General features: G+C 39.3%; 1 protein-coding gene across 15 annotated transcripts in view, besides 11 other annotated features; it reads left to right on the forward strand.

The window, feature by feature from the left end:
* The window catches only part of CDKAL1 (CDKAL1 threonylcarbamoyladenosine tRNA methylthiotransferase), a 697,948-nt gene that overhangs the window by 608,571 nt on the left and 64,723 nt on the right, over positions 1–24,654 (forward strand). Inside the window, exon 14 of one of the 15 annotated variants that reach the window (XM_017010986.2) lies at positions 9,768–22,206. The exons of the other annotated variants lie outside the window; for them this stretch is intronic. Coding sequence (XP_016866475.1) covers positions 9,768–9,776 — 9 coding nt within the window. The 3' untranslated portion in view covers positions 9,777–22,206. Of the gene's footprint in view, positions 1–9,767; positions 22,207–24,654 lie in introns of those variants that run through there. 15 annotated transcript variants of the gene reach the window in all.
* Positions 6,894–7,038: an enhancer, noted in NCBI's record as "145 bp 6:21150224 sequence used in MPRA reporter constructs". NCBI's record gives its function as "activates a minimal TATA-containing promoter with rs9368282 allelic activity by MPRAs in C283T melanocytes {active_cell/tissue: C283T}" and the evidence as "EXISTENCE:reporter gene assay evidence [ECO:0000049][PMID:36423637]".
* Position 6,966: a transcriptional cis regulatory region, noted in NCBI's record as "rs9368282 or 6:21150224 MPRA-significant variant associated with a GWAS melanoma risk locus at 6p22.3". NCBI's record gives its function as "allelic transcriptional activity by MPRAs in C283T melanocytes {active_cell/tissue: C283T}" and the evidence as "EXISTENCE:reporter gene assay evidence [ECO:0000049][PMID:36423637]".
* Positions 20,589–20,733: an enhancer, noted in NCBI's record as "145 bp 6:21163919 sequence used in MPRA reporter constructs". NCBI's record gives its function as "activates a minimal TATA-containing promoter with rs6914598 allelic activity by MPRAs in UACC903 melanoma cells {active_cell/tissue: UACC903}" and the evidence as "EXISTENCE:reporter gene assay evidence [ECO:0000049][PMID:36423637]".
* Position 20,661: a transcriptional cis regulatory region, noted in NCBI's record as "rs6914598 or 6:21163919 MPRA-significant variant associated with a GWAS melanoma risk locus at 6p22.3". NCBI's record gives its function as "allelic transcriptional activity by MPRAs in UACC903 melanoma cells {active_cell/tissue: UACC903}" and the evidence as "EXISTENCE:reporter gene assay evidence [ECO:0000049][PMID:36423637]".
* Positions 20,801–20,945: an enhancer, noted in NCBI's record as "145 bp 6:21164131 sequence used in MPRA reporter constructs". NCBI's record gives its function as "activates a minimal TATA-containing promoter with rs6935117 allelic activity by MPRAs in UACC903 melanoma cells {active_cell/tissue: UACC903}" and the evidence as "EXISTENCE:reporter gene assay evidence [ECO:0000049][PMID:36423637]".
* Positions 20,801–20,959: a biological region, named in NCBI's record as "melanoma risk locus-associated MPRA allelic enhancers 6:21164131 and 6:21164145".
* Positions 20,815–20,959: an enhancer, noted in NCBI's record as "145 bp 6:21164145 sequence used in MPRA reporter constructs". NCBI's record gives its function as "activates a minimal TATA-containing promoter with rs6935124 allelic activity by MPRAs in C283T melanocytes {active_cell/tissue: C283T}" and the evidence as "EXISTENCE:reporter gene assay evidence [ECO:0000049][PMID:36423637]".
* Position 20,873: a transcriptional cis regulatory region, noted in NCBI's record as "rs6935117 or 6:21164131 MPRA-significant variant associated with a GWAS melanoma risk locus at 6p22.3". NCBI's record gives its function as "allelic transcriptional activity by MPRAs in UACC903 melanoma cells {active_cell/tissue: UACC903}" and the evidence as "EXISTENCE:reporter gene assay evidence [ECO:0000049][PMID:36423637]".
* Position 20,887: a transcriptional cis regulatory region, noted in NCBI's record as "rs6935124 or 6:21164145 MPRA-significant variant associated with a GWAS melanoma risk locus at 6p22.3". NCBI's record gives its function as "allelic transcriptional activity by MPRAs in C283T melanocytes {active_cell/tissue: C283T}" and the evidence as "EXISTENCE:reporter gene assay evidence [ECO:0000049][PMID:36423637]".
* Positions 23,375–23,519: an enhancer, noted in NCBI's record as "145 bp 6:21166705 sequence used in MPRA reporter constructs". NCBI's record gives its function as "activates a minimal TATA-containing promoter with rs2125570 allelic activity by MPRAs in UACC903 melanoma cells {active_cell/tissue: UACC903}" and the evidence as "EXISTENCE:reporter gene assay evidence [ECO:0000049][PMID:36423637]".
* Position 23,447: a transcriptional cis regulatory region, noted in NCBI's record as "rs2125570 or 6:21166705 MPRA-significant variant associated with a GWAS melanoma risk locus at 6p22.3". NCBI's record gives its function as "allelic transcriptional activity by MPRAs in UACC903 melanoma cells {active_cell/tissue: UACC903}" and the evidence as "EXISTENCE:reporter gene assay evidence [ECO:0000049][PMID:36423637]".

The following is a 24,654-nucleotide window of genomic DNA, read 5'->3' on the forward strand; positions in this document are numbered from 1 at the left end:
TGTTACAGAGAAAAATGCATGATCTATGCAGCATGTAGCCAAATAATCATTCTATCAGGCTCAAAATGTAGGGAACGTAGTTAATTTGCTTCTTTGCCCTAATCCTTCTCTCTGAATTTGTACTTCATTTAGTCATATTTCACCTCTTAGAAGCTAAAAACACAATTTTGCCAGAAGATCAAAAATAAAAGCAGCAATAGCATAAGTCAGTATACCCTAAATTAGGAAAGTTAGAAACACACACAGTAACAAATCTCTCAAAGTTTGTTTTTCTCTCAACGTTTCTCTAGTCTGTAGGTTTTTTTTCTTTTCCATGTAAGTGTTGTGTCATGAAAGCAAGTGTATCTCAGGAGTGTAAGGTAGGACCCTATAAACCTTTAATATTAGCATTTCATCACAAAAGTTCCTTTGTTAATTTTTCTGTTGAAGAAAAATGAGGGTGACTAGCAGCCTTAGACAAAAGCTTAGTTTTTGTTTTCAAACAAAATTGACTTGATGTGGTTTGGGTTAGAAATTGATATTTTATTTTCTTAATTTGTCAGGCTTTTATTTTTTAGGTGGTGCCTTGCCTGTGTTAGATGTTTCAGTTTCCTAGTGTGTTTGTAACACCCAAAAGCAAATGAATTTTTATGAAACCATAAAAATGATCAACTATACCCTCTTATATAGCATGTTCATGTGCAGCATAATTGTTTAATGCTGTTTTCTTTCCACATTAAGTCAACCTGAAAGATTATTGATTGTCACAAACTCTGTTTCTTCATGCCAGAATTCTCCAGACCTGTGTCTCAAGGGACCCTAGTCGGGAGGGTAATTGTTGCTGCTCTCTGTTGAATACCCGGTGACAGCCTGTCTGGATCGACTCAGGTTCTGGAATGGTGCATCTCACGATACTGAGTAGCCTGCCATTCTGCTGTAAAGTGGGAGTAGCCCCTCATTTATGGCTAAGGGAAGAGAGAGTTGGATGGTAAAAAAAAAACAGCACAATTTTAGTAGGTATGTTATATTCAGAAAAGACTGAGATACCATTCCATGTGAAGTTTTAAATTTTGCCTTATTTATAGATATGTGCCCAAATCATCATGTTAGTTACTTTCATTTGTGTAGTACTTTCTACAAAGTACTTTACCTATGAATCATCTCACCACCTAGCCAAATAACTCTCAAACAAGTTATTTGACTTCTTTGGTCCTCAGTTTTCTGATCTGTGAAAGTGGCATAAAATTACACTGCATCCTATTAGCCAGCCTCACAGAGTTGTGAAGGTCAAATGCAATAGAGCTTAGACATGCAAATGTTATATTCCCTGCAGCAGAGTAAAGTCACATAAATGAACAACTGTTTTTAAAGCAACTATTGAATGCTAAATACTGTGCTGTGGTCAGCGGAGTGCAGTTTCATATACTGGGAATGGATTCTGGCATTCCTGTGACATTTTATACTGAATCACCTGTTGGTCCTTAAAAACTGAAGATAGGCCAGGCATGGTGGCCCACGTATGTAATCCTAGCACTTTGGAGGCCAAAGTGGGCAGATTGCTTGAGACCAGGAGTTAGAGATCAGCCTGGGAAACATGGTGAAACCCCATCTCTACAAAAAATACCAAAAAAAAAAAAAAAAGAATTAGCTGGGTGTGGTGGCATGTACCTATAGTCCCAGCTACCTGGGAGGCTCAGGTAGGAGGATCACCTGAGCCCAGGAGGTGGAGGCTGCAGTGAGCCATGATCATTATGCCTTTGCACTCCAGCCTGGGTGACACAGTGAGACTGACCTTGTCTCCAAAAAGAAAACACAAACAAACAAATAAAAAAGATGAGAACAGGTAAATTGAGTGTGGGGTGAGGAGGGAGATAAGGGATGTGCCCTAGCTTTACATATTTTCTAAGATTTTCTGCTTGAAGTATTCTTATTTGCTTTAAATCTGAGATTTACAAAAAGTGATTTCAACCTCATGACGTGTCCAGAATAAGTTCTGCTTTGCTAGGCTTGAGCCCTAGGTGGTCATGTCCCCTTAGGCTGCCCAGAGCCTTCAGGATTGTAATGTCTTACACATGTTTCTAGGAGGGCTGCAGAGCTGGGTGGCATGGAGCTCATTTGCATGCACTTGATTCACAGCCTTTATTTCCAGGCAGTCACGTTTTCCTTCTCAGAACAATGTCCTAACTGTTGAAAGTGTGCAGATTTTCATGTTTGTTCTCAATGATGAAGAGCAGAAAGTCTATAAAAATGTTAAATTATGGTAATAAAGTAAATGTCTTCATTTGCTGAGCTGATCTTTTCACATTTAGAATAAATATCTCCTTTGTAGTAACTCCTTAGAAAAATTCCAAAAGCTTTGTAACAGTATTATGAGAAAAGATTTTTTTCCCCTCCTCCTGTGAAACTGGTTAGCAACATCCCAGAAAACTAGAATTCTCTAGTAACCCCTAGGTCAAGTGCCCATCTTCACACACATCTCTTTTATTCCACCTCACTTGTGAAGGATCAGCTTATTCCTAATTCCTAGCTGCTTTTTAGGGGACCAAGTTAATGTCAACAAAGAATGGTAAATCAGATTTGCAATCTGTGATGTTAGGGAATAGAGTGATATCAAGTAATTAGAAAGAATCACACAGATCACTTTAACCACTTCACAGTCCAAAGAAGCAAAGTCTCTGTCTAAAATTGCACGGCTGCCAACCTGGATAACGTAGCAGGATCCCATCTCTACAAAATATCAAAAATTCACCGGGCCTGGTGGCATACACTTGTAGTCCCAGCTACTCAGGAGGCAGACATGGCAGTATCACTTGAACCCAAGAGTTCAAGGCTGCAGCAAACTATGATCACGCCACTGCATTCAGCCTGGGCTGCAGAGTGAGACCCTGCCTCAAAAATAAAATAAAATTACATGGCTGGTTTATGGCTGATTCCATAGTTCAGTACTGTTGACAATAGGCAACACAAAGAGTGGTATTTCCTAAAGGTTCTAGTGGACTAGAATGTAACATTTTTTAATAAAATTAATTCATGTGAAAACTGGCTTGGAGATTGTACCCTTCTAAACTGCTAATATCCAATGTTACATCCTCCTCCTCTCCTTAATGGGTCTGGACTGCATGCACTACAGTTGCCCAGTAAAATAAAACATCGTCAAATACTGCATTAGGTATCAGGGACCAGGCATTTGTCTGAGCTCCAACACGTGCTTTCTGGGTCTTGGATTTTTCTCTGCTCTTAAATTAGAATGATTAATTTAATCATTAAATTAGATGGCTGACATGAACGACTAATGTCTTCGTGGAGTACCATTCTTCATAAAAATTGACCAAAAAAAATCACAGTTCACGTCCCAGAGCCCAGGAGGAAAGGGTGTTTTTGATTTCTGACCCTAACCTTTCTAATCTATCCTTCAAATTCAGGTAGGTTCGGCTCAGAATAAAGGTGGAAAGAGCCAATTGGACCTTAAGGTTAAACATTGGAGAGAGGAGGAAAACTCTTTTTGACAGCCTCTAGTGTTATTTGTGGGATAGACTGGTCCCTCTAAGATACTCTTAAATTTGGCCCGGCGTGGTGGCTCACGCCTGTAATCCCAGCACTTTCGGAGGCCGAGACGGGCGGATCACAAGGTCAGGAGATCGAGAGCATCCTGGCTAACATGGTGAAACCCCATCTCTACTAAAAATACAAAAAAATCAGCTGGGCGTGGTGGTGGGCACCTGTAGTCCCAGCTACTTGGGAGGCTGAGGCAGGAGAATGGCATGAACCCAGGAGGCAGAGCTTGCAGTGAGCCAAGATCTCGCCACTGCACTCCAGCCTGGGCGACAGAGCGAGACTCCGTCTCAAAAAAAAAAAAAAAAAAAAAAGATACTCTTGAGTTTACCTTTCTATCCAAGATTTCTTTGGTTCTATAATCAAAATAAAGCTTCTGTTTTCCCCTATAGTTTTCCTGTCTGATTCAGATCCAAGTCTACATTTTTGGAAGCCTGCACGTGTCCATGGTCCATCAGCAATAATGTTTATGGACGCCACGACCAAAGGCTTCTTCAGCAAGCACAGGCAGGGGATTGACTGGTGGGGGGGAAGTGAATACCTAGAACCTACGGTCCAACAGGTAGTCTTTTGCTGTGCAAGCATCACCAAGTCCAGGCAAGGACCATTTCGAGTTTTTAATACATAAGGTCATTTTTTTCCCCCAATGTTTCTGGATAAATAAAAAAGATAATTTTATTTAGTATAAAGAATGCTCAACCAGATAAAAACCTGGAAAGCTTGAGTCCACAACTTTATTAGTATGTTGCTTTTTACTTTTAAAAATGGTTTTAATATTTGATCATCCAAAACGTAACACCCGAGTAACTAACTTCCTTATGAGATTGGCAAATAGAATATGATGGGGGTAATGGGGCCATTCTGGACTCCGTGGGAGATCAGACCATCACACAAAGGCTTAGAGGTGGAAATAATAAGAATAACAAATGCTAACTTGTAGCTCTGTGTCCATTGTCCACTGTTAATTCACAAGAGCCTTGATAGTGATCAAAGCTGAGCTTCCTGGTTAGTGCCCTGCAACCAAGACCACCCTCTCTCCTTGAGTCCTGTGGGATCCTGACTTTACTTTGACTTGAGAAGAAGCTAATTATGGGTTGATTTCTGGAAAGAATGATTAATAATCACTTCCATTTGGCAAAATAAAATCTGTGGAGGCAACACTGGTGTTTTTACTACCTTATGAAGCAACGTGAGGAAGAAGGAAAAAATCATGTATAATCTTTTGCAACAAGCTATAAAATGATTTTTTTTTGTCTTTAATTAAACAAAAGCATTTTTATTCACAGAATGTTATGATCATATTGCTAGTACAGCTTAATGCTTACTTTTTAACTAATTCATTTTCTCATTTGTGGCAGTCTAGAAAGGTTTATTAAATCTAATGACTGTTTTAGGATTAAGTAGGCGGAAAGCATGTTCTAATTACGGGGATGGATAAAAGCAAACTAATTAACCAAAAAAGTGTATTTCCTTCCTCATAGATGTCTGGTCAGCCATATCTGAGATGAACTTGGCTTACCTAGCTCCTGAGTTTTTTAATCATGTTTTTAGATTGCATTTTTTACACCATCTGTACCATTAACATGACTGTAATTTCTGTCACAGTTGGAAGCTTCAGTTAATAAATGTTTTGTTTCGGAGCGGGATGGGAAGGCAGACAGGAAGGTGGGAGTGTTTATGAATGAACCAAAAGGGAAGGGACTGTGATCTGAGGAGCCATGAAGTGAAAATCCTGGACTGACTTAGAACTGTGAATTTGGGGTTGTCCTTTTCTGCCCCACCTTATAAATACTCTTAATTAATCCTTCTAAAAAAATCCAACCTAGTAGAAAGTATTAATCACCTATTAATCACCAGCTAGTCAAAAAATCTAAATAACTTAATTCATAGACAACAGAGCATATACAGAAGAATGTGTGGTTGTTTTATGAAATTCAGAAGGATTTGTTTCTCAGTGTTGTGTATATCCTGAACAAAGCACAGAATCACAGTGTTGTAGTTGAGAGTTCCAAATAAATAGGTATTTTATCCTATTTTTTTAATTACAGATTTTTCTGGATATATTTTTCTTTTTTTTACTAGTAACTACTGCTTCAGGCTTTTAAAAAACACTGATTATGTTTTCAAAGTTGAAGAAAATGGTAAGTTTTAAAGCATCTGTAATTTCAAAGAGTGATAGTATATTGATTAAAAAGTTTATAGAAATAAATAATAAAATTTTGTTTCAGGGAGAGGAATAGGCAAGACACAAGGCAAACTGTAGACTAATTCACCAAAAATAAGTACACATACTTTTCAATTTTAAAAGATTACCATTCATGACTAAAAAAGAATAAACTGTATGAAGTGAAGACTGAATTTTTAGTTAAAAGTCTTATTATACTAGGATGAAGTTTTACATCTTGTAGCATAAGGGACATTAGCTTTAGTATTATAAAGGAGATATCAGTATATATTGTGTGCCTGCTGGGTGCTTAGGGATACAAACCATTAAGATAGAAGCCTACCTCAAGAAGCTTACTGTCAGTAAACATTTGGAGGACAAGGAGTTACAGTAGAACAGGAAATGTAATTTACTTCAAAAAACTTTTTTTTTTTTGAGACAGTGTCTCACTCTGTTGCCCAGGCTGGAGTGCAGTGGCACAATCTCAGCTCACCACAACTTCCACCTCTCAGGTTCAAGCGTTTCTCCTGCCTCAGCCTCCCAAGTAGCTGGGATTACAGGCATGCCCCACCTCCAGGCCTGGCTAATTTTTTTGTATTTTTTAGTAGAGACAGGGTTTCGCCATGTTAGCCAGGCTGGTCTCAAACTCCTGACTTCAAGTAATTTGCCCGCCTCGGCCTCCCAAAGTGCTGGGATTACAGGCATGAACCACCACGCCTGGCCCCAAAAAACATTCTTAAATGATGATTTATGTAATAAAAGTACTTCAGTGATAGACAATGGAAATAGTACTTATCTGGTTGCAATGATTTGTAGGTAGTGGTCTTGCAACATTTGCTGGTGATACATCCTAAAGCCTCACGATTCCTCACATTCCCAAAAAGCCTTGGAATGTATCACTGCATCCTTAAGTTATGCTAATAAAAGTAATTGAACGTTTGGAGTGATGCTGGCAGGCCTTTCTGAAAGTGACTGCGTTCACTGAGAGACAGTAAAGAAGCCACACATAGATGCAAACACTGGGAAGTTGGCTAAGGTGACTCATTAAGTGAGTCCATCGTATCTATCAATCTTGAGTAATTCGGGAATTCCAAAATGTGCAGCAGCCAAATAACAAATGAATGTCCCGAACATTTATTTATTTATTTATTTTGAGATAGAGTCTTGCTCTGGCACCCAGGCTGGAGTGCAGTGGCGCTGTCTCGGCTCAGTGCAAGCTCCGCCTCCTGGGTTCACGCCATTCTCCTGCCTCAGCCTCCCAAGTAGCTGGGACTACAGGCGCCCACCACCACACCCGGCTAATTTTTTGTATTTTTAGTAGAGATGGGGTTTCACCATTGTTAGCCAGGTTGGTCTCGATCTCCTGACCTTGTGATCCGCCCGCCTCGGCCTCCCAAAGTGCTGGGATTACAGGCGGGAGCCACCGCACCTGGCCTGTCCTGAACGTTTCTGTTCCAACTAGTGATGGTGAGGATCTAAAAATTTCCCACATAAACTGCAGGAGTTACCAAACAGCACGCTTCCGGGGGCAAGAAAAGAATGGATGTTGGGTATTTATGAATACCCAGCAAGGTATTCAGGTTTTCACAGAAATACCCAGGTATTACTTACTGGCCTTGCTAAAAATCAAAACTCCTGATGCCTCCTTAGCGATTGTACAAGCTTGCTTCCATGGCCATTTCCTTTAGTGCAGGGCCGTGTTCTCTAAAGGGAACAGTGTAGTTATGAAGTTTGTTGTAATGAAATTTTCCCTGTGTGACCAAATCTTCACCCTTAAAACCAAACCTAGTTGGGGCAATGAAGGCAAATATAGCCAAAGCCTCCATAAAACTTGCTTTAAACTTGGCTTTTAGTGTGTGTCAGTTAGCCAAACACTCTTATCAATTAAACCAGTGACCTTGGGATTGATCAGAGGAAGCAGTCAAGTCCACTTGATATTTAAAATGGCTTCATATAATTCCCATGAAGTCCCATGAAATACAACAGCCCAAGTTCAGGTTTTGTCCTGTCAACTTCGTCCTGACAGGCTTTCTATATTCCATCACTGGCTTTCTAACTTACTCTTCCCCAGACTGAAATCAGAGTAATGAAAACAGTCAAACTGCTCATGAAATGTCACATTACTATGAGAGCACACATTATTTCTACAGATATTTTCTATCAGTCACTAGATCACTACTCAAATGACAGCAGTGCCTGCCTGAAACATGGTTTAAAAATGACAGCCCCATACTGCAAAGACTACTTCAGCAGTAAAATTTACTGATTTGTCCCTCTGATCTTAGCCTACAAAAGATACCAAATGTTACTCAGGAATAAATAAAACATTTCTAGAAAAGGAGAGAAAAGGTTATATGCTTCATTTTGCTTATCAATGTCATTTCCAAGCCAACAATTTTATTAGGGGTAGGAGTATGGGGACATGCTATTTTTAGTTTGTGGGGGAGAAATGTGACATTTAGAACAAATGTCATAGCATTTCTTCAATAAAAATCCATGCTGTCAGCTCCCTAGCTCTAGAGAATTATAGAAAAGCCGTACTGAACTAAAGGAGAGGCAACAATAACTTGATTTTTAGTTTAACCCTCTCCGACCCAGCCTCAGCGTGGCTGGACAGTAGTAACAGTTTTTGTGTGTTACCTAGCTCTGGGAAGCAGTCGTGCATTCGCACAAAGGGTATTTGTTTAAAAGAATCTATTCTGTCTACCTAAGAAATGACTCTGTGTTCAGCCAAAGCCCTGTGACCTGTTTTGTTCATTGAACCTTGAGGAGAAGCAATTTTTTCACAAACAAAAGAACTCAAATATCTACTAAAATAACGACTCCAATATGAAAGCCAGAAAATGACTTTTATTGCCTGTAAACAACAAAAACAGTAGAGGACATAATTATTAGACTTTAATAGAAAAATAAATATGTAATAAATAAAGTTCTCATTATGGAACATTTGCCCTTATCTCATTTCCCCCTTTTTTGGCATATATTCACATTCTATCGTGTAGTATCTCTGGGTTGTTATTTAACTTTTCAGGACAAGAGCCATATCTTACATTTCTCTAAATCCTCTGCAGTGCCTAGTACAGTTTTTGATAAAAGTATTGAACAATTGAAACATTAGTTTGAAAAATGCAGTTCGTATCTACAGTTTTTTTTTTAACTTTCTAGCTCTCCCTGGCGTGCGGCCTCCACCCCCAACACACACAATGATTATTTTCAGCCTTTGCCATTTTCAAGGCTCTGATTCTACTTGCTCCATCCTTACTCCTACTGAGTATTAATAGTAGTCTTTGCTGACAGTGACCTGTGCACTTTGAAAATACGTATTATCATCTCCACTAAGTGCGAAGATGGAGACATCTGTGGCGTTTTTGCTCTTCTCTCCTTTGCCCTTGCAAATAATTATGTGCTTCATTCATGATCTTTTTTCTGTCTTTCGTGTCTCAGAAGAGGGTCCTCTCTTTCTTCACCAAGTTCTTTCTTCCCCTAAACTCTCAATCAGATCCCTTCAGCCTGTCCTGGAATCCCACCAGTTGTTCCCCAGTAGTCTCTGTCTTCCTTTTTCTAACTCCTCCCCTTCACTTTCACATGGGCATAGCAGTAGTCTCCAATTTAACCTGCTGTCTTCTCTAATTACCATTAATTTGCTAAACATGAATTGAGCACTCAATAGGTACAGGCATTCAGCCAAGTAATAAGGGTATACTCTTGAGTAAGATGAAGTTCCTTCTCTAAAGCAGCTCACAACTGCCACACCGATTCAACCAGCAACTTGTCATATGACCCCCACAAACATTCACTCAGCGAACATTCGTCCAGTCAAATTCAGGTGACACAATGAGTGCTAATGACAGCCCCTGCTCTCAAGGAGCTCGTAGTCTATGCTATTTCTGGAGCCTATGCTAGCTATACCTCTTGTTTTGAACTTTTACTTATTTACTGCCCGTAATGATTATTTATGTTTTATATGTAACTGTAATATCCTCAATGCAGCTTTTCTTCTATTACTGTGAGGACAAAGACTGGTTTTCAAAAACTGAATTACTTTTTGTCTTTTGTGATCTTTGTTTAACAGATTACCTAAACACAGATCCCTATCATTCAGCCACTCCAGCCATGTACTACGCAGATCCAAGGAAGGAGTACCAAACACATCTCAGTTTAGGCGGCCTTGCGCATCAGTGTTCAAGAAATATTTCCATTCGACTCTTAGAGTACCAGCAATTTTTGAAACACTGTTCCATTTTCTAAATTTTTTTGAGTCTTTTATCTCTCCTATTCTATTTAATCACCCTACTATATAAAGCCATTTGAATAATTCATGTTCACTGGTTCAGAAGTAGGTGATGTTTTGAAAATTCATTTTTATATGAATTAGATATATATGATTTAGTAATTTGTATATGTCCCCAATTATATTCTTAACCTGTTTTTTCTAATAGTGTTTTGACATGACTTTTTAACACTTGTCATCTATATTGACAACCTCATTGGCAGGGTAGAGGTATGTGATTTCTTTTTTTTTTTTTTTTTTTTTTTAATCGTTAAGCGTTTAACCATGAACTCTCAAATACAAAGAAAAGAATTGCCTCTGTGTGGATTTATTTAAGACTGTAATGAATTAACCTAATGCCATTTGAATTTAGATTGCTTCTGCCTCTATTCTGATAAGTTAGCGAACATATGTGACATTCATTCAATTATGGCAGCTGTTTAATCATCAATAGTAATATTTTATCTTAATCATAATGTAGGCTGTATCACCTCTAGATTTGTGTGCCCATATGAGAAGACGGGTATCATTCTCTTAGCTAGCAACAGGATTCCTCTTAGGAAAGGAGCTGGCTTTGCTTAGGAAACTATCTTGATAAACAGTTCAATGGACAAAGTTAAAACCTGAGGACATGAGTTACAAGGAAACAAGACTAGGAAAGACAGAACTAACTGCTCAGCAGTAGAAAAAAAATAGAGGGATTTTTTTCTCTTAGCATAAATGAGAGAAAGGGTAATAAAAGAGAGGGAAGAAGTGGGGAATAACTAATATTCAGTTTTAAGTGGTTTGCATTTTTCCCTGTGTGGACAGAACTAAGCCAGAAAACAAAAAATTGAGAGCTAGATAAGACCTGGAGAATGCAGGTCCTCTGGATGTTTAAAGTCATTTGAGAAGGACACTGGACTTTTTTCACACAGGGCAAGGATGGGGAAATTAGAGCCAATCTAACTAGATCCAAAGGGGCGGGGAGACTCCAGATGACATCTGGGTCTCATAGATATTCATGCCTGCCTTTAATTCCCAGCCCTGCCTTTTACTAGCTGTGTACCTTTGGGAAAGATACTTAATTGCCCTGTGTCTCGGTTTCCTCATCCATAACATGGGAATCTCAAAAGTGCATTTTAAACAGGTTGTCATGGTGATTAAATTAATGCATGTGGAAGAGGTTGGGAAAATGTTTTGCGTGTAAGTACTGGTTAAATGCCACACACATCATCCATACTCATGGAAACACACATATGATAGAAGATTTGGGTTTGCTTTTTATGTGCATGCTTTAAACTTAACTGCAAAGAAGTAATACATCAAAAACCCATTCTAAGGAAACAAAGTTGGCCCAGTACCCCTAATTTCTAGCAACTTCATCTCTCCCTTAAATGGAAAATATTTTATACCCTAAACAAATTAACTAATGAGTAACTTACTTTCTATAAAACAATGTTTAACTCCATATGTCATCATGTATTTTCAAAGACCAAAATTTTATCAATATCTGGATATATTAACCAATCCTTATACTTTTGCTCCTTGAGAAAAATGTATTGCTTAGTTTCTGAAGCAATGGTGTAACTAGGTCTTTTGATATAATGTTAAATGTTTTAATCATTTGACTCTTGTCTACATGAAATGGAAATGTAAATTGCTTTCTAAAAGTTGTTAAGCTTCAGTGGTGGCTAAATACTCTACAATGTGTAAAATATTAAAATACCAGAGTAGGCTGGGCACAGTGGCTCACACCTGTAATCCCAGCACTTTGGGAGTCCAAGGCAGGCAGATCACGAAGTCAAGAGATGGAGACCATCCTGGCCAACATGATGAAACCCTGCCTCTACTAAAAATACCAAAAAAAAATTAGCTGGGTGTGGTGGCACACACCTGTAATGCCAGCTACTCAGGAGGCTGAGGCAGGGGAATCACTTGAACCCAGGAGGCGGAGGTTTCAGTGAGCCGATTGTGCCACTGCACTCCAGCCTGGCCACAGAGCGAGACTCCGTCCCCCACCCCCCCCAAAAAAAAAAAATACAAGAGTGATGACATTAAGAATGTAATTGCTGTCTATTTTGATTGCTTTTATTTAAAACGTTTACTGCTGACCTATTGGTAGCCATTTAGAATATTTACCACATTTATTACAATATATCTAGAAACTCAGTTGTAAAAAATTTTATAATTCGATTCCTCAAAATCCTTTAGAAAACATTTAGATTTAGATTTTAAAATGTTTAGAACATATTTTTCCCTAAGCAATTGTTTTATCTAGTTTTTTTTCCCCCCGAATTATATTATGTGTCATCAGCGTGTGTGAGGATGGGGAGGACAGCTTTAAGAAGCTGCTGCATTTAGTACCAATTCCTTGTACAATTGGGAGGAGACTTTTGAAATAAAATATTCTGTTTCCCCAGCTCAAGCTGGACATGAAAATCAGAAACATGGAAGGAGAAGGGGCATAGCCGTGACAGGAAGGGGAAGGAATTTGATTTGAGGAGCGCCTGGAGAAGCCTAGTCTCACCCAGGACATCACCTCCCATGGTAGCACCTTTGCTATCACTTAGTACATTTTCTGTCTTGAGACGGTGAAAGCTCTTTAAGAGCAGGCACCGTGTCTCCTTGCTGTATTTCAGTGCCTAGCACGTATAGAAGGTTAATGAGTATTTGTTGAATGAATTAGTTGATTCACTTATAAGTCACTTTGCAATTTGGTGATTATTCATTATGTTCAAGAGACCTGTTTCCCATGCATTAGTAATTAGTCCTACTGGGAATGAAATTTCATAAAATCTGTGAGAAGGGCAGCCTGACAGTGTGTGTCCAGGCCTTCCAAATGTGCTCCAGAATATATTATAAAGGGACAGGGACGGATCTGAGTAAACATAAATCTGTGAAGATGTTCATTGCAGAACTGTTTATAGTAATAAAATGTAAAGAACAACCTAAATATCCCATAGTGGGTGATGAGTTAAATAAATGTTGCATTCATATGGCATAATGGTAGTGACTAAAATCATGTTATAGGAGAATATTTAGTGATAGGGAGGGGAGCGTTCACTGATATTTCAAAAACTGAAAATGTATTACGAGATAACATGTATGTGATCCTAATTTCATAAAAATTATTATTACACATTTGCTTAGGAAAAATAAGACTGAGCGGGGCATGGTGGCTCACACCTGTAATCCTAGCACTTTGGGAAGCTGAGGCAGGTGGATCACTTGAGCTCAGGAGTTTGAGACCAGCCTGGGCAACATGGTGAAACTCTGTCTCTATAAAAAATTTTTAAAAAATTAGCTGGGCATGGTAGCTTGTGCCTGTAGTCCCAGCTACTGGCAGGGCTGAGGTGGGAGGATAGCTTGAGCCCAGGAGGCAGAAGTTGCAGTGAGCCGAGATCGTGCCACTGTACTCCAGCTTGGGTGACAGAGCGAGACCCTGTCTCCAAAAAAAAAAAAAAAAAAGGAAAAATAAGACTGGTAAAATATACACTACAGTGTTAACACTAGTTATCTTTAGCAGAATCCCTTTTTTTCCTTTTTGTGCTTTTTCTATATTTTTGAAAATTTCTAAAATGAACATTTATTCCTTTTGTAAAGAAGGGAAAGAGAAAGGAAAGTTTTCCAGTGCCATTTTGTGGAGTGATGGGACAAATTTGTCTGAAAGGAATTGAAACGGGAATGGGAGGTTTAGAAGGAAGAACGATGGATGTAAGGAAGATAGTGAGACATGGATCAACTCTGAGCTGCAGCCACTGGAGAATTTGTGTGGTGGGATTACTAGAATTCAAGCAGCTGGAGAGGTGCAGAGAGATCCCTAGGAGCAAGACTGGTGTGCATGCTGCTGTGGTTGCTTTGGCATGGAATCCTTCTAAGAGTATCAAACTGTATAAAGTAGGTAGGAAACAGAACCTTGTATGCCTGGTAAACTTTGCCAAGGAGAAGGGTCTGCTCTCTGCCTAGGCTGGTTTTTCAGCATATGATTTAAGCATATTTTCCTTTGACTCTTCATATGTGTTTATTGATTTCTTTTTCTGCGCCATATTCTTTGTTTCTACTGTGATGCTTAGAGAGATGGTAGGTAGGGTGGAAAGAGATACGCTTTGAACTTGGCAGAATTCAGCCGACATAGATTTGATCCCTGCTCTATCACTTATGAGCTCTATGACCTTGGAAAAATTTGCTCCAGTGCTCCTAGCCAGCAGTGTTAGAATGATGCTGATAATAATCACCTTGCAAGGTTTTAAGCAAGATACATTTATGTAAAGTCACCAACTCAGTTCCTTTCACGATAATGGGCAGCCAGTAAATGTTACTTATTGTTCTCAAGATTGTCTTTTCTCAGCCAGACACTGTTGTATATATGCCTGTAATCCCAGCTACTCAGGAGGTTGAAGTGGGAGGATAGCCTGGAGTTTGAGACCAGCCTGGGCAACATAGTGAGATCCTGTCTCAAAGAAACAAACAAAAAACGAAAGATTGTCTTTTCTCATTGTTCTTTCTTGATTACACAAACACAGTGTGTCTTATAATTACAAAGCCATATGCTTGTGTTGATATCTTGTTTATTTGTTTTTGTAGTTTTTACTTAAGTAATATAAAAAAATAGCTAAGTGAAAATCTTCACGAATGAAAGCAACCTCTTTGTTTGTTCCTCGTCATCCTAACCAAAATCAGTAGTTTGATAGTACTTCTGTTTCATTATGACATACATCTACCAGTCACCTAACCTGGCCTTACTGAAACAAAACAGTCTTTGAGAAATGTAAGCACATCACTCAGCCTTGTTATGGAAAACTGGCAGAGCACCTGGGTGTGCCCAGAGGGACTGTGATTTCACTTCTCACTCCATAAGCAACATCCTTCTGTTGTGAATTAAATCTTCACAGTCAAAATCTGTGTCTGCATGTGCTTGTTTATTTGGAAAAGAAATGTTATTCAGAGAGGCATTTTATTTGTAATACTTGTGGAGCAATATGATATTAAGTGAGCTTAATATTGGTAGAGTGCTCTTTTCATTTTAAAGATTCTTCACATGCATTTGTTTTTCTTTCTGGCTTTCCTCTCTGTTATTAGGCCAACAGACAAGTTATATTTTATACATATGTGTCAGTATGATGCTTTACATGTGTTTATAACATATATGAATATGGTATATACTCTTCTGTTTGTGAATTGCTGTGCATATCTGAGGATACGCATGTTAGTGAACTGGTTTCAATTTACACAAGGAGGTTTCTTTTTTCTGCTTTCATCCAACCTTTATTGAGGACAGTAAATACTGCCTCTTATCTCCCATCCCAAGCTGAGTTCAGCATCTGGAGAAGCTTAAGGTCCCAATGCATCAAATTATCTTGCTCAAACTGTTGTTTATTACAGTCAATTTTGTCCTGTCACTCCAGTGGCAGAATGTCAAAGCTTTTCTTTGCATTGCCTTCAGCTTTTAGCCTCTGCAGGGATCTGATATGCTGCTCCTGCTTTGCCAGGGGGTGGGTTGGAGGGGACTCAAAGGGTCATGATGAAGCTCCAAGCCAGATAACTACAGCACTGGTTAACCTCCTTGCTAAAGCTGGGAAGGGTTTATGCCCCACCATTTCACTCCCTGGACCACAAACATGCACTTCATTTTATGAATGTCTGTTAATTTCCTATGTTTCCATTTCTTTTCTTTTGAGACCTGTGTAACCACAAGCAAAGCATGTATGATGGTATTCATAGAAGAATAGACAGTGTAAGTCTAGAAACTTAATGTGAATTTTGTCACTGACAAATATGTATTCTGTAATCTGAACAGTTTAATTTAGATAAATAGTTTATCTTTTAAAACTCTGACTAGAATAAACATTCACATGAATTTCCCATTTAAGTGTTTAAAACTTCAACTTCTAACCTTTTTTTCAGTTAGAAACATATATGTACCTAATTATTTCTTTTTAGTTTTATATAATTGTGATCATGTGTATAATTATACATGATGTAGCTTTCTGGGATGAAGTTTTGTTGTGACAAAAGGTGCTTTCCAAATACGTTTTTGTTTTGACCATTGTCAACATAGTTAATAATCTGTAGAAGTTTGCCTAATGCCTTCCTCTGGGGCTTCTTGACCTTGTTTTCTGAAACCTCCTTTTTTTTTTTTTTTTAATTTTTTTAATGACTCCTGTAATGTCTCATCAAAAAAAGCAGTTTCTATAGTATTCTTGAAAAATGAGTGTAATAGAGTTGGGGATGATAAATATATTTCCAGGATGGAATACAACTTATTCAGATAAGAAAAAATCTGGCAATAATGAAACATTTCACACTGATTATAAGCTAGGAAATATTCCTGTGTTTCTACTTAAAATCAGCTTTAGCCCAAGCAACCTCTTCTTTTGCTTGGACTATGGAAGTTGCCTTCTGACTGGTCCCTCCATACCCATTCTTGTTCCTCTCTCGAATCTGTTCTTCCAAGGGAAACTAGAATGATCTTTTATACAAGCTGTCATAGCAACCTGTGACACTACTCTTCATATACATCACACTTGCCATTTTATATGTGTGTGATTATTTGATCACTGTCCATCTCCCTTACTAGATTGTAAGTTCCAGAAGGGCAGAGGCCATGCCTGGCCTATGGTAGATGCTCAGTGAAGAGTTATGGGACACTTAAATGAAGACAGTCAGATCTGTACTAAGTTTTGTGTTGTGAAAGTATGTCCTCAGTTGTCCTGGTTTACACGGTTCTCACAGATAATCCACTCTGAACAGCGACACCTAATTCACTTAACCACCACTTGGTTGAGATCTTACCTCCTGTTCTGAGTCCGCACCATAGGCTAGCCTTTTAAAAATTAAACCCTTACTTCAGGCAGAGTTTGAGATTCAAAAATTTCTCCATAGTTCCACCCAACCCAGATTGGGTTTGAGAATATGCTTATGTAACAGACAAGAGTGGGAGATTATTGACTTCCTAGCTGCTCTTGAAAAAGATCTTTGCAATGAGGCCTGATTATTTTCATATCATGTATTTCCAGAACAAGCAATGTGCAAAAACCCTCTGTGACACCAAATGTATAGGATTTGTTCTTGTGATTTTGGGCTACTTTTTGCATGTCTCAGTTTTCAACAGTTCTCTGAGGAAGCACTTTGCTTATTTGGCAAAATAAGCATATTCGTGGTCCACATTGCAGACCCGCTTTAAGTCACCTATCTCCAGGTTTGAAAGTTTCCGTGGAAGAATCAATAAGTCGCTTTTGGCTCTAAAATGGCTCCTGAGCAGTCACCTTTTTGTTTTCATCCCATCTGTTGTTTTCGAATGGGAAATAAAGATTTTCTTTTTTTTCTTTTTTTCTTTTTTTTGAGATGAAGTCTCGCTCTGTCACCCAGGCTGGAGTACAGTGGCGCAATCTCGGCTCACTGCAACCTCTGCCTCCCGGGTTCAAGTGATTCTTCTGCTTCAGCCTCCTGAGTAGCTGGGATTACAGGCGCCCACCACCATGCCCAGCTAATTTTTGCATTTTTAGTAGAGACGGGGTTTCACCGTGTTGGTCAGGCTGGTCTCGAACTTCTGACTTCGTGATCTACCCTCCTTGGCCTCCCAAAGTGCTGGGATTACAGGCGTGAGCCACCGCACCCAGCCAAGATTTTTTTTTTTTTATTCACTGTAATTTTTGGACACAGACACACACACACACACACACGTGTGTGTGTGTGTGTGTGTGTCTGTGTCCAAAAATATATATATATGTATATATATTTTTTAACTTTAATTTCTGGTATACGTGTGCAGAACATACAGGTTTGTTACATAGGTATACATGTGCCATGGTGGTTTGCTGCACCTGTCAACCCGTCATCTAGGTTTTTAGCCCTGCGTGCAGGTATTTGTCCTAATGCTCTCCCTCCCCTTGCCCCCCACTCTCCGATGGGCTCTGGTGTGTGATGTTCCCCTCCCTGTGGACACATACATATTTTCATTTAAACAGTGGCTAATCCAGTCAAGAGAATAGATCCTGGAAGATTAGAAAATGCAAATTAAGAAAAAAAATAGGGATCAATGGTAATACAGGAAGCCCCTTTTGTTGGCTGGGGGGGTGCAGTGAAGGTAGTGTCAAGGAACAGGGAAGACAACCACCCTGTTGCTGGTGACACCCAGCCTGACCTTTGGTGTCAGCTCATAGTAATCACTTTGCTGTCCTGAGTTAAAAGCTATCATGAAAACCTTATGTTGAATGGGCCCATCTTCCTTATGTACTTGACAAGGCTACATTTTTTCCCTCCCCTCCAACGATATCGTATGAGATTGACGTTATCAGAATAAAAATACTATGGATTGCTGTATTTTTCAATACAGCACCAGATCAGTAAACACCATCTTATAAGTAACAATGACTTTCTGCTTCATTAAAAAATTATTTATGCTATAGAAAAACAATATTGAATGGTAGTTCCTTTGTAGAAACTACAGCTGGTGCATGCTGTAGCTCTCTTTTCAGTCAGTGTAAGAGATAAACTGTTAGCAATAATAGAGAGATGCCCATTGAACTGAATATGCTCTTTTTAAGATAAAGAACTTTTTGGTGGTGTTAATCACTTATTTGCCTTTCTAGAGAATGTATCCACTTAATATATTTATAGGGGTGATCTACGTTTCAGATTTATAAAGTCTCTGAATATATATTTTTAACTATACACATAAAAATTAAATTTAGAGAAAAGAGTCTCAAAATTCACTCTTCTGTAAAGCTAACATATAAACTCTGCTTCTGCATGGCTTCTTTTATGGGCTTGGAGTAATTAAGCAGACATAATATAACACATAAAGGAATTTATTAGGCTTTTATTAAGGCTTGATAATTTGAGTTTCAGATTTTAAATCTCAAAGGGCTCATAATTGTTGTCATTTTCTACTAAAAGCTGCATTTAGAAAGAAGTTAAACTGTGGTGCAAAGGAAAGGCACGTTTCAATGGAAAATTCAAAATGCCTTTTTCATTAATTCAGCACTTGAATGCAAGTGCCTATTGTGCCTAGCGGGAGGCTTTTAATAAGTAATACAGACGCTGCTTACATGACTTAATTTATGCCGATATTTTCTTGAAACTGTGTTAGTTGCAGGAAGTAGAGGTTTGAGGTTGAGATATGTCCTGGTAGAGAGGGAAGAGATTATTTCAAACTCCAGAAATGTGAGTGAATTCTAATTTGCCAAGCCAATTTAAGTCTTAGAAGTAAGGTTTTTAATTTCACTATTGACTCAAGAAATCACTGGGACCATTCCAGGTCTCTGCAGGATGAATTTTGGAATAGTTTGTAACATTGAACAGCCATCTTCTGATTAAACATCTTCTCTCCTTGTTAACTCCTAATTCCCCATAAAATAATCTATTTGGGGTCATGGAAATGTTCCCCAACAAAAGCAATACTTTAAAATTTAAGAAACCTAGAACTGAAAGCTGAACCTCTGATGGAAAACAGGTAAATGGGGCATTGAACTCTGAGGCCCATTCCATGGTTTTGCCCAGAACCAGCTCTGGCCTTGAGATTTGAGTTAGCAGAATTCCAGTTAACTGAAACTTTGCTCTAGAATTGAAAGTAAAAACAAAAGCCACCTGACTCAATCAGTCTCAGCATCACATATGTAACTTCCTTGATGCTTGTTAGCTTTGAAGGACCTAGAAAAAGTCTGGCCTGCTGGGCACAGTAGCTGACGCCTGTAATCCTAGCTACTCAGGAGGCTGAGGTGGGAGAATCGCTGGAGCCCAGGGGTTTGAGACCAGCCTGGGCAACATAGCAAGACCTTGTCTCTAAAAAAAAGGTTTTCTTAATTAGTTGGGTGTGGTGGCATGTGTCTGTAGTCCCAGCTGCTCAGGAGGCTGAGGTGGGAGGATCACTTGAGCCCAGGAGTTTGAGGCTGTAGTGTGCAATGATCACACCTATGTATAGCCACTGCACTCCAGCCTGGGCAACACAGCAAGAACTCATCTTGATGGAAGAAAGAAAGGAAGGAAAGGACAAGAGGGAAAGGGGGAGGGAGGAAGAGAGAGAGGGCCTGGCTTGAATAGCTTAACTAATGCCACAGCTGAACCCTTCTATGGTAATCACAGTGAGGCCAACTGGGACAGAACAATATTAGGAATCAACTCCCTAGCACACAAAATCTGCCTTTAAATTTAAGCCTGATGTATAACGCTAGCAAATGCCCGTTTTGCCTCCTCCTCACTGCCAGCACAACCTTGCCTTGTGCAAAAGTCACTTCTCTTGAGATTACTGCAGATGTGGTGGTTGTTCCTGAGTTCTCGTTCATGAGCCACCTTCCTGGGGTCGGTTTTATAACCTCCTCCACTTCATTCTCTCAGTGATGCAGAGGCCTCACATACATCATTAGCTGCTTTAGACTGGATCCTGACCTCTTAATCTTCACAGTAACCCAAAACAAACACCCGCTTGGGGCCACCGGCAGAACCCACCGTGGTTTGGGAATACAGTAGCCTTTAGTGTCTTGATTTCAAGTCACCATCTTTTTCACTTTCCTCATCTGTTTCTTTTTCATCCTAGTCATGTTCCCTCTCCCTCAAAAGTTCTTTAACCAATCATCCAAAATCCTTACTGTGGAGGCCTCTAAACCACAGGCGTTTGTCAGATGAAAATCAGAAAAAGGCATGTGGTGTTGAGTCATAATCTTAAACTTTGTAGTCTTGAAATAATGCTGTTATCTGGCCGGGCGCGGTGGCTCATGCCTGTAATCCCAGCACTTCAGGAGGCCGAGAGACGGGTGGATCACCTGAGGTCAGGAGTTTGAGACCAGCCTGGCCAACATGGCAAACCCCATCTCTACTAAAAATACCAAAATCAGCCAGGCATGGTGGTGCATCCTGTAATCTCAGCTACTTGGAAGGCTGAGGCAGGAGAATCCCTTGAACCTGGGAGACGGAGGCTGCAGTAAGCCAACATCACACCATTACACTCCAGCCTGGGCAAGAGGAGCGAAACTCTATCTCAAAAACAAAAAAAGAAAAGAAAAAGAAATAATGTGTCTATTTTAGTTATTAATTAGGCTCCCTGTCCCTAGCATTGCCCCTCTACCTAGCTCCAGAATGACCTATTCCACTGCTCCTAATTGTTGGTCTACTAAATGCTGGTCCAGGATGACATTTTCACCAAACTGCAGAAGAGATAAGAAAAACAAAGACAGTACAACTTACAGCTTAAATTGATGATTTAAAAGATTTAAAATCACTTCCTATTTTGAAATGATTTATTGTGATCATAGATTTGAAATTTTAAAAAATTATGTACCTGCTTGTAGAATGAAAAGTACACAACCTTATAAACAAGCTGGGTTTTTTAAAAAATTTCCACTCATTTTACTAGCATTTAGAATCTCAAAAACTGGGACCTAGATTTAGCCAGAACCCAGAAAACTGGGACCTAGGATCTAGCCAGAACCCAGATTTAACCTCACTGCCATGCCTCATACCCTATAGCAGCCACTGTAACCTACAAAAGCAAGTCCAGGTGCTTCAACCATAACACACACAGACCGGGGCTGGCCCTTTACCACTATCCATCATTGTCTCCCAGCATTCCCTGTCCTGGAACTAAATTGGCTTGATGCCATTTATGCCTAATATTGCTAGCCAGGTAAAATCCATCCATGATGGTCAAGTGTAAACTTAGAAGCTTATATTCATAAACACAGACTCAAAAATTCTCAGCATCAAAGATGAGGTCAGAATGCCCCCTCATCTTCCCTGACTACTTTCTGCTTGAAACAGGCTTCCCGCCTTTATAAACTGGATTCACTGTATTCATCATCCTTGAAGCTTGACTTGACCAGCTTTGTGCCAGCCTTTAAGCCACCACTGTAGCTTGCCTCTTCATCAACAGCATGTATACATAATATTGGAAAGAATCTTTTTAAAAAAATGTCTTTGCCATCACTAGGCTGTAAAGCTCCACCAGAGGAATCTAATTCATCTTCATGGCATAGCACACACTGGGAAGATTTCTCTTTAAACTGAAATGAACGAATAGACAGCTAAGATGTGGTTAATCAATGTGAAAGCAAAAACCCTTTCTTTCCTCCTTCCCCAGGTGTCTCTTCAAAGGAATAAACTTCCTTCCTGGCCAAAGCCTTGTGGCAAAGTAATTGACCACAGCTTTGACAGCAACAAAGATGACCTCTTCACATCCACTTCCTTAGCCCTTTCCTTCCACTTTCTGTTTCAGGAGAAGAAGGACCATTTTGTTGTTATTAAAATGACTATGCTGTTCTAAGAATTTCTGACTGATTACTCCACTCCTGCCATCAGCTTCTTCTTTACGGCCCAACTCTCCTAAAATATGGTGCTGGATTTGTTGTGTTGTAGAGTAAAAATAATATTGTTATTGTGAATTCTAAGGTCAAAATATAAAGAGTCAGAAAAATAGCTGATAGCTAATGGATTCTTTTTATTTACTCCGAACAGTTCTAAAAGGATATAGCAAATATGTTCATAGCTTCTTTTTACTTTTGGGAGTTTTTACATTTGGGATAATTATTAAAAATCTTTATAATTATCCATCTCCTTCATTTTGCTTTACAGAGAAGGAAATATTGAAGTTAAATGCTCTGATTTGAGAGCTCGTAGAAGAAACAACATTAGTAAATTACTGTGTTGACGTATAGTTCTCATTTTCATAGTATTTTCCATTTCATTCAACCAAAGGCATTTCTTTAGCACTGACCATGTCATGTGGTAGCTGCTGAGGACAGAGGATGAGTAGGACACTTCTTACTGCCTGAGTCAAGGAGGCTACTAGGAGAGTCTGTACTCTGCGATGACAGCACAGTGCATGGCATCCTATGAGCGTGCTGACTTAAAAGAGAGAGAGCTTTACGCACCTGTGGGCAGGAGTCAACTCAGGGGAAGTTTCCCAGAGGAAGCAACACTTGAACTTAAAGCCTAGTTCTGTGATTAGGAGGTGATTCTGGAAGTAGACTGCCTGGATTCACATCCTGGCTCTTCCACTGACTACCTGTGTGACCTTCGGAAAGTAACTAACCATTCTATGCTGTAGTTCCCGAATCATCAGATAGGGAATAATAATAGTGCTTACCTCATAGAGTTGCTGTGAGCATTACACATGTTACATATATGAAGTACTCAGAACAGAGCCAGTACAGAATTAGCATTCATATTGTTAGGAGTTGACCTGATAATTAAATTGGGAAGAAAAAGGGGGTAGTCGTAGGGATACAGATGTGTGAGAGAGCCTGCCATGTTCAGATAACTTCATGTAGTTTTTCACTATTACCAGAAAATGAGGTATGACGTGAAAGAGTGCAGAGAGGTGGGAATTGTGAAAGCAGACTTTATTCTGTAGGTAATGAGGGACCGTTAAAATGTTTCAGGTGATTAGATTTGGACTTTGTAAAGAAAATTCCCCTACCAGTTTTAAGGCTGGAAGAGGGAAAGGTAGGGTGAGTTTGAGGATAGCATGAAGTAGATCATACATAACATGCCAGGCACGAAATGGCATAGACCTGCAGGAGTGCCAGTGGAAAAGATGCTACAGCTTCTCCTGCAGCAGCTTCGTTAAAGGCTAATTGCTTTAATAACTTCTTGATAGGCCAGGTCCTTTGACATGCTAGCCATCAACCAATCCAATCTCCTCATCTGAAATTTCACTATTAAAAAAACTTCAGTGGACAAAGGTTTAGCTTTCAATAGACTAATCAAAGAGAGCATAGTAGAACATTTTGATTGAAAAGGAAAATGTTTTACCTGCTAAAAAGTATTTGGATTTTTAAATTTGGGATTTAAAAAAAAGCAGAGAGATAATCAAGTAACTGTGATGCAGAAGTTGCTAACCTCATTGTACCCCACTCTGACTGTCTGTCTCATGTGATGCTCCTATTCATATCTACATCAGTGCCGGTCTCTTAAGAGGGCAGGTGTGAAAGTGAAAAGAAAACAACCCTTGAAGACAGAACACCCAGACTGACATCTGGTTCCACCATATACCAGCTGGGTGACCTTGAGTATGTCACTTAACCTCTGGGAGCCTCAGTTTCCTTATCTGTGTCCTAGAGATAATGATACTTCAAATAGTTGTCATGAGGAACAAATGAGATAATGTAGGTGAAAGCAATGTGATATCAGAAAAGCAAAACAGGCACTGTGGCTTGCCTGTTTGTACATCTATTATGGGCTACGGTTAGTTTATGGCATATCCTGTAGTTCTAACAAATGTGCGCTTAGTTTCAATGGTGTTTTTGAGCCCGTGAGAAAGAGTTTGAGTAGTAATGCCATTAGATTTTAAGTTTAGAGTTGCTTTTCTAAAATATTTCTGCCAAAGGTACTGTCAAAGCTGACAACCAGCTGACTTAATCATTTCTAATTACTGTGCCACCAAAAGTAACCATGACTGATTCATATGAACTATGGCAGGACTGTTTTATAAATATTAGAAAACACTTAATTAGCCTGGAACCAAAGATGGCAATTAGTTTATAATAGATATGAAAACCCTATCCAACAATAGCCACTTAACTTTAAATCATTTAGCCCATGTCACCAGAATTATTCTTTTAGGACCTACTGTGGTCAAGAATACACACTCTCGTTCACATCAAATTGATGGCAAGTCCAAGATTCTCAGTATTCTATTCTTTGACCTTCCTTTGACACCTTAAGAATGCCCACTCTCAGATGGCTACTGCAAAGCTTGTAAACTGATTAAGTG

Source organism: Homo sapiens, chromosome 6 (assembly GCF_000001405.40).
Source record: "Homo sapiens chromosome 6, GRCh38.p14 Primary Assembly".
Classification (NCBI taxonomy): Eukaryota; Metazoa; Chordata; class Mammalia; order Primates; family Hominidae; genus Homo; species Homo sapiens.